Source organism: Homo sapiens, chromosome 12 (assembly GCF_000001405.40).
Source record: "Homo sapiens chromosome 12, GRCh38.p14 Primary Assembly".
Taxonomy (NCBI): domain Eukaryota; kingdom Metazoa; phylum Chordata; class Mammalia; order Primates; family Hominidae; genus Homo; species Homo sapiens.
Genome location: NC_000012.12, coordinates 6,739,636 through 6,753,945, shown reverse-complemented (window position 1 = coordinate 6,753,945; position 14,310 = coordinate 6,739,636). Strand labels below are relative to the sequence as shown.

Here is a 14,310-nt window from a genome sequence, read left to right as displayed (position 1 = left end):
ACAAGAATTAGAGTAAAAGGAAGGGGAGAGTGGCATTAAACTAATAGATTCAGAACTGTAGCCTTTCCCCAGTCCAACCCTTCACAGATGGGTAACGGGGGAGGGTCCAGGTCCCTCTCCAACGCGAGTTCTCAAGGGCCTCCGGTTCCAGCCTGGCCGAGGAGCGCCATCTGGCGGCCAACCCCCCAACCTGGATCCTCTGCCCCATCCGACTTTCTGAAGCCCGAACTAGATCTGGGCTGGAGAGTTTCACCTCCTCTGCGTCACTCCGGGGACTCCGCCCTGCCAGGAACGCTCCTCCTCAAGCGGGGACAGGCCCAAGCGCCTCCCCCGCAGGAAAACTGCCCATCCTCCCTCTAGGGTAGACTGCTTCTCCAGTAGAGTCGGCTTAAAGCTCCCCCCAGGGATCCGCCCCGCCTCGTCGCCCACAGAGCGCCCGCCTCTCCCCAAGGGGCATCTGCCCCTCGTCCTCCAGTTTCCCCTTGAGGAGGGAGAGAGAACGTGCTGCACTGCGCCCCCAGGTTCAACCTCCAACCCGGTCCCTCCCGAAGAATGGATTCCTCTTCTCCTTCTCCTCCCCTGCCTTATGGGAGCCTCTTCCAGTCCACAGAACCCAAATCGAGGTTACTAATGAGCTCCCCTTCTTCGTGCCCAGGGGACCCCTCTCGGCCTCAGGCTCTGCTCCCCTGAGCTTGGCCCATGGCCCCGGCGCCCCTGGGACTCGGCCCCAGCCATCTCACCACCCGCGCCAGGGGGCGGGGCTCCCACGGCCCGGCCCCGGGTGGGCGGGTCTATCGTGACGTCACTTCCGCCCGGGCCTGGCCGAGGTTCGGGCTCCGTTGGCCGAGGGGGCCGTACGGAGGTGGCAGCTGTGGGAGGAGGCGGCGTGGAAGGCCGAGGAGCTCAAGCCCGGACCAATCCCCACGTTCCGGGCCGCGACCCTGACCCTGCAGCGTACCGGGAAGCGAAACCGGCCGGATGGGCCGCTGAGCCCGAATCGGGCACTGGTGAGGCTCGGGCAGAGCTGGCAGCCCCGGACGGGAGCGGGCCCACGGGGCTGCAGGGTCTGGGAGCCCGGGATGCGGGGTGGGGAGAGGAGAGGCTCAGGCCTACCTCTCCTGCTCGCCTGGCGGGGAGGCGGGAGCTAGAGGAGTCGCAGACAGGCGCGGGGGGCTTAGTGAGGCCCGCCTGGGGGAGGCCTGAGTGTAAGGAGGGGGCGGGGTGACTGGGGTCATTAATGGGGCGGAGGACCTGCACTTGGCATTCTCATCTAGAACGGTGTCGTCGGCGGGAGGAGGGGAGAGTATGCTACCGGCCAGAGCTTTGGGAAGAGGATGGCTCTGAGTGGGGGAGGGAAAAACCGAGAGGGTTGGAAAAATTTTCCATGGCCCTAATTGAGAAAGAGGTTTGAAGAGCCCTTCCCTCCCTAGAGGGTTGTGTGGAACACCTGGAGTAGGGTCTCCCTGGAGTTTAGGGGGTCAGTTACAGGATTTGGAAAGGACAGTGCTCTGAGAGTCCCCACACTGAGTGGGTGTGCAAAACCCTGGCCACCTCCAAGTATCTGAGCTTCCATATCTTTCCAGTGTGGAGCCCCCTGGAGCTGAGATCAGGATGTTCCGCTTCATGAGGGACGTGGAGCCTGAGGATCCCATGTTCCTGATGTGAGTATTCCCTCCCCCTCAAGCTCTCCCACTCCAGGTCTCTGAGCAGTTCAGGCAGACATCGGGGTTCCCATTGCTAGGAATGGTTGGAACTGGCTGGATACCTAGCTCCTACCTAGCAGGAAGTAGGCATCGGTGCCACTGTTGCTCTGTGCGTATTTTTTTGCAGGGTGGTGGAGGGATTGACAGTTTGGCGCTTCTGCCATCCATACTATGTGCTCACTCCACAGGGATCCCTTTGCTATTCACCGTCAGCATATGAGCCGTATGTTGTCAGGTGGCTTTGGATATAGCCCCTTCCTCAGCATCACAGATGGCAACATGCCAGGGACCAGGCCTGCCAGCCGCCGGATGCAGCAGGTAATGATGCTGAGACACACCTGAGACCCAAAGAAAGGTTGGAGGTTAGTTAGGAAAGCACTTAATTTTCTTGCACTACAGCCAACTGAGCAAGTGAAATGCTCTAGGAGTTGGGGAAAGGGTCAGGAAAAAGGGCTTTGTGACTCCCTTTTGAGAGGATGGAAAAAAATTGAGGCCATGGGCCTGGTTTGGGATTGTAAAGAGATAGGATGTGGTCTCTAATTTCTGTTCCTCATGTGTTCCTGTAGGCTGGAGCTGTCTCCCCCTTTGGGATGCTGGGAATGGTGAGTCTTTATCTCCCTGTGTCCTTCCATCTCAGACACACTCTCTACCCTTAGATATTATTCCCAAATGTGCCTCTTAGGAATAGTTTCATGAGTAACCCCAGAATCTTCTCTTTTTATGGCATTCACAAAGCTCTGAGCCTGTTGGGTACTAGGAGCCCTGTGGGTTAAAGGTGTTAAACTCTTGTTGGGAGGCCGAGATGGGTGATCACTTGCAGTCAGAAGTTCGAGACCAGACTGGCCAACATGGTGAAACCCCGTCTCTACTAAAAATACCAAAAAAGCCAGGCATGGTGGCACACACCTGTAGTCCCAGCTACTCTTGAATCCGGGAGGTGGAGATTGCAGTGAGCCGAGACTGCGCCACTGCCCTCCAGCCTGGGCAACAGAGCCAGACTCCATCTCAAAAAAAAAAAAAAGAAAAGATGTTATTAACTGTTGTACTCCTAGAAGTTCATACGCATTAGGAAGATGTAATTGTCTAGCAAAATTTGTTCTTTTGAGGAGGGAAGTGCAGTTAAAGGGCCAACTAGAGATGATTTTTTGGTAGGTTTTAACAATTTCATGCCTTACCTCTTTAGAGTTTAGAATCCATTACTTTGGCTTGCTTCCTAAAGATGGGGGGAATATAGCAAGCAGGAGAAGGAAAATTGGATCACAGCAGTCACAGAGACTGAGGAAGGGGTCAGCAGTTCACAGGAGGAGAAATATGAGTATTCTGGTTATTTTAACAGAATGAGAAAGAGAACTTGCTAGATGTGAAGGAAGAAGAGAAAGGAAATGTGCAGCCATGTGGGTTGTGGGTTCCTAAACAGGATCAACTCTGAACACTGACTTTGCTTTCCTGACTCTGTTTTCCATCTCTTTCCTCCAGTCGGGTGGTTTCATGGACATGTTTGGGATGATGAATGACATGATTGGAAACATGGTGAGACTTGCCCCATACCCTTCCCCGGCCTTGCTCTCAGTGATGGCTGACAACACCTTGCATCCTCTAAGGCAAGAGGGAAACAGTATGCTAGTGAAGGGTAAAGTACTGGATAAAGTAATTGAACCAGAGAGCCTTGGGACCCTGTACCTGCTGTCATGCCTGCCTGAAGCAGCCGGCAGCAGCTCTCTTACGTAGCATACAATTAAGGCCCTGTCTCTTCAGGTCCTTCTTGCTCGTGGTTGGACTCAGAGGAATTTGGGAGGGTAATGATGAGGCCTGATGTTTTTTCAGTTCTTGCATTTTGTGAGAAAGATACAGGCTAGAACAGGCAGCTGAAGGGTGAAATCCCTTCACCAGGGGTGATGCCTCCCCATTCAGCCCTCCCCTACCTACCCTGTCCTCAGGAACACATGACAGCTGGAGGCAATTGCCAGACCTTCTCATCTTCCACTGTCATCTCCTACTCCAATACGGGTGATGGTGCCCCCAAGGTCTACCAAGAGACATCAGAGATGCGCTCGGCACCAGGCGGGGTGAGTTGGGGAGCCCTCCTGTCCCAGAGAAGGTAGGATTGAGCGGCACCGCCAGAAACCCTGGCTGCTTTTTTCCGGATTGGGTTGTGTGTGGTGTGTTTATCCTGAGATGGTATAGGCAGGGCTTTGGAAGGGGCGGCTGAGTGTGCCACGTTCTGCCTCATCCCAGATCCGGGAGACACGGAGGACTGTTCGGGATTCAGACAGTGGACTGGAGCAGATGTCCATTGGGCATCACATCCGGGACAGGGCTCACATCCTCCAGCGCTCCCGAAACCATCGCACGGGGGACCAGGAGGAGCGGCAGGACTATATCAACCTGGATGAGAGTGAGCCTTCCCTCCCGCTTCCTGGCTGGCAGCCCCTAACCCGGTTCCCGTGGACATCCCTAACACATAGACACTTCTGGGGCAAAGCTCTGGGTCAGCCCCATATTCCTTTTTTTTTTTTTTTGAGATGGAGTCTCGCTCTTGTTGCCCAGGTGCCCAGGCTGGAGTGCAGTGGCGCGATCTCAGCTCACTGCAACCTCCGCCTCCCGGGTTTAAGCAATTCTCCTGCCTCAGCCTCCCGTGTAGCTGGAACTACAGGCATGTGCCACCACGCCCAGCTAATTTCTGTATTTTTAGTAGAGACAGGGTTTCACCATGTTGGGCAGGCCGTTCTCGAACTCCTGACCTTGTGATCCACCCACCGACCGTTGGCCTCCCAAAGTGCCGGGATTACAGGCATGAGCCACTGCACCCAACTGTCAGTCCCATATTCTTACCGCACTTGGAGCCTCCTCCGCTCGGGCGGAGTCAGGTGCTGGCGGTGTCTTTGTGAGGGGCCTACTTTGTCCCTGAAGTTCCGTATTGATAGTGTTACACCCTTCTCCACCTTGATCCGTTTCTTTCTCCCCTCTTTATCTTTTTCAAATCCGCAATTATTAAGTACCTAGTGTGCACATAGGACTGTGAACCTGAACTGAAGAATAATCCCATTCTGATTTCTTCCTCCAGTAGGCCACCTTACGCCTACCGGTGGCTTCCTGGGACCGTGCAGAAACCAAAAGAGCTAAGGGAATTGCCACCCCACCCATCCCTGCACGCACACTCAGCCTTCGCCGCTTTGGCCCGAAAAGCTGTGGCTCGCTCGCACATCGGCCTCCAGGAGCCAGGCCGCACACAGGCCTCATGTCCGCTCTGTCCTTTCCAGGTGAGGCCGCAGCGTTTGATGACGAGTGGCGGCGGGAGACCTCCCGATTCCGGCAGCAGCGTCCCCTGGAGTTTCGGCGGCTTGAGTCCTCAGGGGCTGGGGGACGAAGGGCGGAGGGGCCTCCCCGCCTGGCCATCCAGGGACCTGAGGACTCCCCTTCCCGACAGTCCCGCCGCTATGACTGGTGAGGGCCCCGGGCCCTCAGCCTCTCTTGTAAGTATCAGGAGTAAGGAGGGTGGGGTGCACCTGCGGACGGTCCTCGGCTGCAAGGCAGGCTCAGTTCAGGCTCCCGCAGGAGCTGCCTTTGGTAGTACAAGTTGACATGGAAAGAGAACAATGTTCTCACTGACATAGGGGATTAAACCCCAACTCCTGGCTCTTAACGTAAGTTTTTTCTTCCTTTTGACTTGTGCTCCTCTCTCTTTCCCCCTCCAGGTACAGGCTGAGAGGCTGAGAAATCATCCCCTGAATAACTTTTTCCTCTCGATTCCCATCCCCAATTTAATATTAAATTAACAGGCAAGCCGGCCCCCACCTCTCCCTGGGGGTCTCAGGGAGAACCTTTCACGGCACCCTTTCCCTACCTTTTCCTTCTTTAATCTCCTGGTTTACCATTGATGACTTCGCCTCTGCATCTACTGACTTGATTTTTCATTCTGCCACTCCATCTTCAAACCCCCTCACCTTTCCCATCCTACTCCTGCCATGCATTGAAGGGTCAATGCATTTTGGGGTGAGCTCTGGGTTTAGGGGCCCCCTCCATCCCTCAGCTACCCTGGATCTTTGCCCACCTCTTCCTCAGAGCCCCCACTGAGGGGCCGTAGCCCTATCTAGGGCTGTGGAAGGAGCAGACTGGTTCCTAACTCTCTCCCTCCTCCTGCCCACACACATCAAAAGAATCTTCCCTACACCCTTCTCTGCCTTTATTTTTTGATTTGTGCAACTTGTAACTAGGTGTTTATGGAATAAAGGAGAATGGAAAAAAGACCAAGTGGGATTCTGGCTGTACTTTTGATCTTTTCCTGTTCAATTCAACCCTGCTGTCTCCTCTGAAGTTACCTTCTCACTTTTCCTCGTCTCCACCTGTAGTCTTCGTACCTCAGAGTTCAAGCCCACATCTCCTTGGTACGGACAGACCATCAGCACTGCCAGGTGCAGGCCGTGAGCACTTGGCTGGGCTAGGCTGGGGCGTGAGAACATGAGCACCTCTCTCGCTGGCTCTTCCCTCACATTCTGCTGTAACTTTGCTCTTCAGGGATGTGTTGGGCATCTCTCATGGGTGCCTGCGGAACTTGCTGCCCCTTGCCCCTTGGACAGAGTTTCTTTCCTGCACTCTGGGTGGAAACACTTCAGATAACCCTACACAGGCCTTCAGAGGGGAGGAACTCTGGTCTGCAGCGTTCCACAAACCCTCCACCCACAGTAGTTGAGAATTTGAGCCCAGGGAAGGAGCCTAGAGAAGAAAACTAACCTGGAACCTGAGCAGGACTGGAAGGGCATGAGGAGCTCAAATTTCTCAAGACGTTTGCTCTTGCTTTGCCCAGCCAAATGGGTCACTCTGTTCCTCTTGGGAACTTACTTAATGATGACAAATGTGTAGGAGAGTCTGATAATGGTTTCCTCTTTATGAAAGTCTTGAGTTCTTTTCAGTTGGTAGGGACACAAAGACACCTAAGGCTCTGGGTCCTCTCAGGGAAGGGAGGATCTTCCCCTGTGTCTCGTGGACGAGTAGATTCAAGAGGATAAGGAGGATTTGTCCAGTGACTCAACAAGCAGAGAGATGAAGTTGAGCTCAACAACCAGGCACTGGTGTCCTAGTCCAGTGCAGTTACTAAATCTCAGTAAGTAGGCTAGGCTGGTGAAGATGCATGACCGGGTCAAGGGAACCCAGTGGTGAAAGAATCCAGGAATCCCAGAAGTCAATCTAGTGTGGATTATTCACCACCACCTGGGCTCTGAACTGTGGATGATGGAACTCAGCAGCCATGGCCCTCATCTTTTTATCTTTTTTTTTTTTGAGATGGAGTATTGCTGTGTCACCCAAGCAGTGGCGTGATCTCAGCTCACTGCAACCTCCGCCTCCCCAGTTCAAGAGATTCTCCTGCCTCAGCCTCCTGAGTAGCTGGGACTACAGGCGCACACCACCACGCCCGGCTAATTTTTGTATTTTTAGTAGAGGCAGGGTTTCACCATGTTGGCCAGGCTGGTCTCGAACTCCTGGACTCAAGTGATCCACCTGCCTTGGCCTCCCAAAGTGCTGGGATTAAGACGTGAGCTGCTACGCCTGGCTTCACAGCCCTCATCTTTAAGTGTAATCTTGCCCTGTCCAGATAAGCACACGACTGTTTCCTCTGAGAAGGGAGTCGTTTTCTTCACTCTCCTGAGAAGGCAGCAAGGTAACCTGGAGTTGAAGGAGCCTCAGTCCTTAGCTCGGCCACTGACAGCCTTGTGGTCTTGGGCAGGTCACTCACCTCCCTGGACCTGAGTTATGTGGGGCCCTTCTAGCCACAAAATATCAGGCCCAGCCTCTCAACCCGGATTTTAGTTCCAGTGCCCACACGCGCATGTGTAGTCTTGAGTGTGACTGCGGCAGAGTAAGGCTGCCCTGACCTCAGTCCAGGTGAGTCAGTCCAGTGTTTCAGGGACTCCCCTGTTCAGGTCCCAGCCTTTAGACATGTGAACTGATTTGTACTCCTGCTCCCTGCTGTAGGGTTTGGACCACCCTTCAGCCCAGCACTTACTCCTGGGGCCTGTGACTAGTTCTCAGCAGGGATATGTTGTGGGAAGTGAGGTGTTAGCATCAGTAGAGTGAGATGCTCAAGAACCAGCCCCCTAGCACGTCCTGACCTGTCTGCCACTGGGGTAAGGGCCACGGGAGAGGAAGAGGAAAGGAACTTTCCCGAGGGACACAGATACTCTACTTCCGGTCAGCTCTCCATCTGGGCCCAGCCTCACACAACAGCCACCCCTCAGCCACCGGCCCAGCGAGTATCCAGAGGACATGGGCAAACGCCTCAGGTTATTTTCTCCACCCCAGAACATTACAGGTTGGAAGAGGCTGACACTAGGTGTGTGACTAAGCAGAATAACACAGAGGAGGGAGACAGGATGCACACGCACAAGCAAGACCTGGCTCCACCACTCAGCTGCACTGTGGGAAAGACTTCCTCTCTCGCAACATCAGTTCCCCATTTTGTAAAATGAACCTTTCTAGGCACTGGTGACTATGGAGTCATACCTCAGAACTGAGACCTGAGTGAGTGCAGAGAGTCTGACATGCACATGGGATACAAATGACCATTCCATGCTAGTATTTCTCCCTGATCACTCTCTCCCTGCCTTGCTCCTTCAGGGTTCTCTGGTGGTCCCTCATCCCCCACTCCATCCTCAGGACCCCTAAAATACTTCCAGACACGATCTGGATCTCATCCTACTGATCTTGAACAGCTCCCAGCCGTTCACCCTCCCAGCTCCTGGCTGTCATCTTTCACTCTCTCCAGACCTTAGCCCCACAGGTCAGCAAAGAGAAACAAATGTCTGAGGCCACTCTCCCCCTGCCCTGTTTGTGGTTTGGGATTTTTCCCCCTTTCTATTGTAATGGCCTCAGGCCCTAGTAATAATACCCTTTTTCCTCCACCCTCTACCTCATGTCCAAGTCACATGAACAGGTGACCCAGAGAACCAGAAGCTGGCCCACAGAACCCAGCAGTCTGGTCTTGCTGCCTGCATATTCCAAGTCCATTTAACTCACATACCTTCCTGCCTTTATGTTCCCAATGCTGGGACTGTCATTCCAGGGGCTGAGGGAACAGCAGGGGTCAAAGATGCTTTCTCTCAGCCCATTCTGGTTGGGCTAGGGATAAGAAGAAAGCAGTCTTAACCTCTCTCACTCTTAGACATCACTGGAGTCTTCAGAGAGGAGAGGCAGGAAACGGGTGGTGCTGCACCAGGATGGGGAGATAAAGATGGGACGGTGAGGCATGGGAGGCACTGGGAGGTGAAAGAAATCACTGAGGAGCTGGGGCATGGGGAAGAGACCTTGGTAGCTGGCTCTCATAAGAAGCCTCTGTCCAGCCTCATCCCTTGGAGAGCCTGTGTTGGGGGCACAGAGCTGACATAGCCTGAGGGAGAGGAGCCTGGGACGCTGAAGCCTGACAGAGCTGCTACAGAGGGGGCCCTGAAACCCCCCAGTGTAGAGTGTGCTGATGACTCTTAGCCCTCTTAGCCTCCGTGTCTGCTTTTTTTTTTTTTTTAAAACGGAGTCTTGCTCTGTCGCCCAGGCTGGAGTGCAATGACGCTCTCGACTCACTGCAACTTCTGCCTCCCAGGTTCAAGCGATTCTCCTGCCTCAGCCTCCAGGTAGCTGGGATTACGGGCGCCCACCATCATGGTCGGCTAATTTTTGTATTTTTAGTAGAGACAGGGTTTCACCATGTTGGCCAGGCTGGTCTGGAACTCTTGACCTCAGATGATTCGCCCACCTCAGTCTCCCAAAGTGCTGGGACTACAGGCGTGAGCCACTGCACCTGGCCCGTGTCTGCTCTTAAACGGTAGCTCTTGGGGGACCAGCAGAAGCAGAGAGTGCTTCCCCACCTGGGCTCAGGCCCCTCTGGACTGTCCCTGAGATGAGGCGAACTGGGTTAGCCTTCAGCCTTTCTCTGCCCCTTGAGATTCTCTTCTTCCTCCCTAAAGCCCTTATCTTTTGGGTGGGAATAGGGTGCTGCTCCTGGTTTCTCCTGGCATCACCCCCTCCTTTTCATCTGTCACCTGCCACCTGGAGAGCTTGCCATTTCTGGAACATCATCTTGAAGATGTCAGTGTTCTCTGGCCAGGAGGCCAACCAAGCACCTGAGGGGTCTGAGACATTTGGGCCCATGAAACTGGAGGATGGGAGAGAGGGGGGACTTGAAAGAGCTGTCCAGGTGGGACTGAGTCTCTAAAAGAGCGCAGGCGCGGTGGCTCACGCCTGTAATCCCAGCAGTTTGGGAGGCCGAGGCGGGCGGATCACGAGGTCAGGAGATCGAGACCATCCTGGCTAACACGGTGAAACTCTGTCCCTACTAAAAATACACACACACACACAAATTAGCCAAGTGTTGTGGCAGGCGCCTGTAGTCCCAGTTACTCAGGAGACTGAGGCAGGAGAATGGTGTGAACCCGGGAGGCGGAGTTTGCAGTGAGCCGAGATCGTGCCACTGCACTCCAGCCTGGGGGATAGAGCGAGACTCTGTTTCAAAAAAAAAGAAACAGAGCAGAGATACCTTGGGAAAAGCCAAGATGACACTGAGGTGGTGTATTAGTCCATTTTCACACTGTTGATAAAGACATACCCGAGACTGAGTAAATTATAAAGAAAAAGAGGTTTAATGGACTCACAGTTACACATGGCTGGGGAGGCCTCACAATCATGTTGGAAGGCAAAAGGCACGTCTTACATGGCAGCAGGCAAGAGACAGAATGAAAACAAAGCAAAAGGGGTTTCCCCTTATAGAGCCATCAGATCTTGTGAGATTTATTCACTACCACGAGAATAGTATGGGGGAAACCACCCCTATGATTCAATTACCTCCCACCGGGTCCCTCCCACAATACGTGGGAATTACGGGAGCTACAATTCAAGGTGAGATTTGGGTGGAGACACGGCCAAACCATATCAGATGGGAAATGCTTTGGTGAAAGTAAACAAAGCTGTGTTCCTAGAGCACCACTGGTGACTTCAGATAAAGATGTTATGTATTTGAGGTGGGGGAATTCACAATTCACAAGGAATATGGCAGGGAAGAACAGAAGCCGATTCCCAATACAGATGAATCTTAATTTCAGCAAGCCCAAATATGTCATAAATGACAATTTCAGACTTAAAAAGAGACCTTAGAGATCATCTGCTCTGGAAATTCCCAAATGTGGCAGTAGGTCTGCTTTCAGACATACTAAAGCCGAATGTCAGGGTTGGAGATGATTCAGATGCCCCTTATCAGTCATTCCAGATATCATCAAAACCCCCCTTTCCATTTTCTTCTGAAGAAACGGAGAAGTGATTTGTTCAACATCATACAGCTATCTGATAGTAGCACAGAGAGAGCCAGGACTCAAAACCTAGATTGACAGAAATGATACTAATATGCTGTATGGAATGATTCACCATAGAAGTCCTTTAAATAGAAAATTTCCTGCAGGGCGTGGCAACTCGCACCTGGAATCCTAAACACTTTGGGAAGCTGAGGAGGGAGGATTGCCTGAGCCCAGGAGTTCGAGACTAGCCTGAGCAACATGGTGAAACCCCATCTCTACAAAAACAAAAACAAAGCCGGGCGCGGTGGCTCACACCTGTAATCCCAGCACTTTGGGAGGCTAAGGCAGGTGGATCACCTGAGGTCAGCAGTTCAAGACCAGCCTGGCCAATATGGTGAAACCCTGTCTCTACTAAAAATACAAAAAATTAGCTGGGTGTGTGTAGGGACCAGCCCCACAGGGTCGGTGGGTCTCTCCCTGTGTGCGGTGATGAGAGAGCATAGAAATAAAGACACAAGACAAGGAGATAAAAGAAAAGGCAGCTGGGCCCGGGCGACCACTACCACCAATGCGCAGAGACCGGTAGTGGCCCCGAATGTCTGGCTGCGCTGTTATTTATTGGATACAAGGCAGAAGGGGCAGGGTAAAGAATGTGAGTCATCTCCAATGATAGGTAAGGTCACGTGGGTCACGTGTCCACTGGACAGGGGGCCCTTCCCTGCCTGGCAGCTGAGGCAGAGAGAGAGAGAGAGGAGACAGAGAGAAAGACAGCTTACGCCATTATTTCTGCATATCAGAGACTTTTAGTACTTTCACTAATTTACTACCGCTATCTAGAAGGCAGAGCCAGGTGTACAGGATGGAACATGAAGGCGGACTAGGAGCGTGACCACTGAAGCACAGCATCACAGGGAGAGGGTTAGGCCTCCGGATAACCGCGGGCCAGCCTGACTAATGTCAGGCCCTCCACAAGAGGTGGAGGAGCAGAGTCTTCTCTAAACTCCCCCGGGGAAAAGGAGACTCACTTTCCCGGTCTGCTAAGTAGCGGGTGTTGTTCCTTGACACTTTTCGCTACTGCTAGACCACCTCCCAGGTTCAAGTAATTCTCCTGCCTCAGCCTCCTGAGTAACTGCAATTACAGTCGCATGCCACCACGCCTGGCTAATTTTTTATATTTTCGGTAGAGATGGGGTTTCACCATGTTGGCCAGGCTGGTCTCAAACTCCTGACTTCAAGTGATCTGCCCACCTGGGCCTCCCAAAGTGCTGGGATTACAGGCGTGAGCCACAGTGGCCGGCCTGCTTTGTGCATTTTAAAGCGCTTTAGTTAAATGCATAGACATTTAGAATTATTGTATCTACTTGGAAAACCAAATATCTTATTATGTAATGTCTTTTTTGTTTTGTTTTGTTTTTTTTGAGACAGAGTCTCGCTCTGTCACCCAGGCTGGAGTGCAGTGGCATGATCTCGGCTCACTGCAACCTCTGCCTCCCAGGTTCAAGTGATCCTCCTGCCTCAGCCTTCTAAGTAGCTGGGATTACACGCCTGGCTAATTTTTTTGTATTTTTAGTATTGATGGGGGTTACACCATGTTGGCCAGGCTGGTCTGGAACTCCTGACTTCGTGATCTGCCCACCTCGGCCTCCTAAAGTGCTGGGATTACAAGCTTAAGCCACCAAGCCCAGCCAATGTCCCTCTTTATCTCTGGTAATTTTCTTTGCTCTGAAGTTTAGTTAACTGTTACTACAGCCATTTTCAACTTTCTTTTGGTTAGTGTTCATGGTACGTGTTTCTCCATCTTTTTACTTTTAACCGACCTATGTCATACTTAAAAGTATTTGTTTTCTTTTTTAAGACACTGTATTTCTGGGTCTTTTAAAAAAATTATTTTGGCCGGGCGCGGTGGTTACGCCTGTAATCCCAGCATTTTGTGAGGCCGGGGTAGGCAGATCACGAGGTCAGGAGATCGAGACCATCCTGGTTAACACAGTGAAACCCCATCTCCACTAAAAATACAAAAAAAATTAGGAAGGCGTGGTGATGGGCGCCTGTAGTCCCAGCTACTCGGGAGGCTGAGGCAGGAGAATGGCGCGAACCGGGGAGGCGGAGGTTGCAGTGAGCCGAGATCGCACTACTGCACTCCAGCCTGGCAACAGAGTGAGACTCTGTCTCAAAAAAAAGAAAAAAATTATTTTGATATTTTTTTAAAATAGAGATGGGGTCTCTATTCACTGTGTTGCACAGGCTAGTGTCAAAATCATGGGCTCAAGTGATCCTCACGCCTCAGCCTCCCAAAGTGCTGGAGTTAAGAAGTGAGTCTTTTTTTTTTTTCTTTTTTTTTTTTTTTTGAGACAGGGTCTCACTCTGTTACCCAGGCTGCAGTGCAGTGGCACAGTTACAGCTCACTGCAGCCTTAACTTCTCAGGCTCAAGCAATCCTCCCAACTCAGCCTCCCAAGTAGCTGGAACTACAGATGTATACCACCAGCCTATCCGTCTTTTAATTGTAGTTAGGCCATTTAAATTTAATATAATTGCCCAGGTGTGGTGACTCACACCTGTAATCCCAGCACTTTGGGAGGCCAAGGCGGGAGGATTGCCTGAGGTCAGGAGTTCGAGACTGTCCTGGCCAACATGGTGAAACCCTGTCTCTACTAAAAATACAAAAATCAGCTGGGCTTGGTGCATATGCCTGTAATCCCAGCTACTCGGGAGGCTGAGGCAGGAGAATAGCTTGAACCTGGGAGGCAGAGGTTGTAGCAAGCTGAGATCGCGCCACTGCGCTCCAGCCTGGGCGACAAGAGTGAGACTCCATCTCAAAAAAATAAATAAATAAAAATAAAAAATTAATATAATTAGTATGTTTGCATTTATCTCTTTTTTTTTCTTTGTTTCTTTCTTTCTTTTTTTTTTTTTGAGACAGAGTCTCACTCTGTTGCCCAGGCTTCAGTGCAGTGGCACGGTCTCGGCCCACTGCAAGCTCCGCCTCCCGGGTTCATGCCATTCTCCTGCCTCAGCCTCCCAAGTGACTGGGACTACAGGTGCCCGCCACCACGCCCGGCTAATTTTTTTGTATTTTTAGTAGAGATGGGGTTTCACCATGTTAGCCAGGACGGTCTCGATCTCGTGATCCACCTGCCTCGGCTTCCCAAAGTGCTGAGATTACAGGTGTGAGCCACCGCGCCCGGCAATATTTCTATTATTTATTATTTATTTTGTTTGTTCTGTTTGTAATTTCTCTGTCTCCATTTTCCAGCCTTGTATTGGTTTACTTGAATGTTATTTAGTATTCCATTTTAATTTATGTACAGATTTTTTTCACCCAGTAAATCTCTG

The 14,310-nt window shown here is 52.0% G+C and overlaps 1 protein-coding gene across 3 annotated transcripts, besides 3 other annotated features; it reads left to right on the top strand.

Annotated features, from left to right (window-relative positions):
• Positions 249–418: an enhancer, noted in NCBI's record as "active region_5880". NCBI's record gives its function as "activates an Ori minimal core promoter by ATAC-STARR-seq in GM12878 lymphoblastoid cells {active_cell/tissue: GM12878}" and the evidence as "EXISTENCE:reporter gene assay evidence [ECO:0000049][PMID:35858748]".
• Positions 449–498: an enhancer, noted in NCBI's record as "active region_5879". NCBI's record gives its function as "activates an Ori minimal core promoter by ATAC-STARR-seq in GM12878 lymphoblastoid cells {active_cell/tissue: GM12878}" and the evidence as "EXISTENCE:reporter gene assay evidence [ECO:0000049][PMID:35858748]".
• Positions 669–908: a silencer, noted in NCBI's record as "silent region_4179". NCBI's record gives its function as "represses an Ori minimal core promoter by ATAC-STARR-seq in GM12878 lymphoblastoid cells {active_cell/tissue: GM12878}" and the evidence as "EXISTENCE:reporter gene assay evidence [ECO:0000049][PMID:35858748]".
• On the top strand, positions 805–5,950 carry MLF2 (myeloid leukemia factor 2). Of its 3 annotated transcripts, none has more exons than NM_001382226.1 (9): positions 805–1,007; positions 1,584–1,661; positions 1,892–2,021; positions 2,270–2,305; positions 3,180–3,233; positions 3,641–3,769; positions 3,939–4,098; positions 4,964–5,176; positions 5,399–5,950. In NM_001382226.1, exons 2-8 carry the CDS (start codon positions 1,612–1,614, stop codon positions 5,149–5,151), a joined length of 747 nt encoding a protein of 248 aa, NP_001369155.1. In that variant the 5' UTR covers positions 805–1,007; positions 1,584–1,611; the 3' UTR covers positions 5,152–5,176; positions 5,399–5,950. The 3 variants fall into 3 exon arrangements, with proteins under 3 accessions (NP_001369155.1, NP_001369154.1, NP_005430.1); NM_005439.3 differs by lacking the exon at positions 805–1,007 and adding an exon at positions 1,030–1,064; NM_001382225.1 differs by having other exon boundaries at positions 4,964–5,950.
• Positions 5,951–14,310: the final 8,360 nt, after the last annotated feature.

Bases quoted from the DNA above. Each gene is read 5' to 3' on its own strand.
- MLF2 (NM_001382226.1), top strand. From the start codon at position 1,612: ATGTTCCGCTTCATGAGGGACGTGGAGCCTGAGGATCCCATGTTCCTG. The intron at 3,234-3,640 runs GTGAGACTTGCC...CCCTGTCCTCAG, and splicing joins ATGACATGATTGGAAACATG to GAACACATGACAGCTGGAGG. The intron at 3,770-3,938 runs GTGAGTTGGGGA...GCCTCATCCCAG, and splicing joins TGCGCTCGGCACCAGGCGGG to ATCCGGGAGACACGGAGGAC.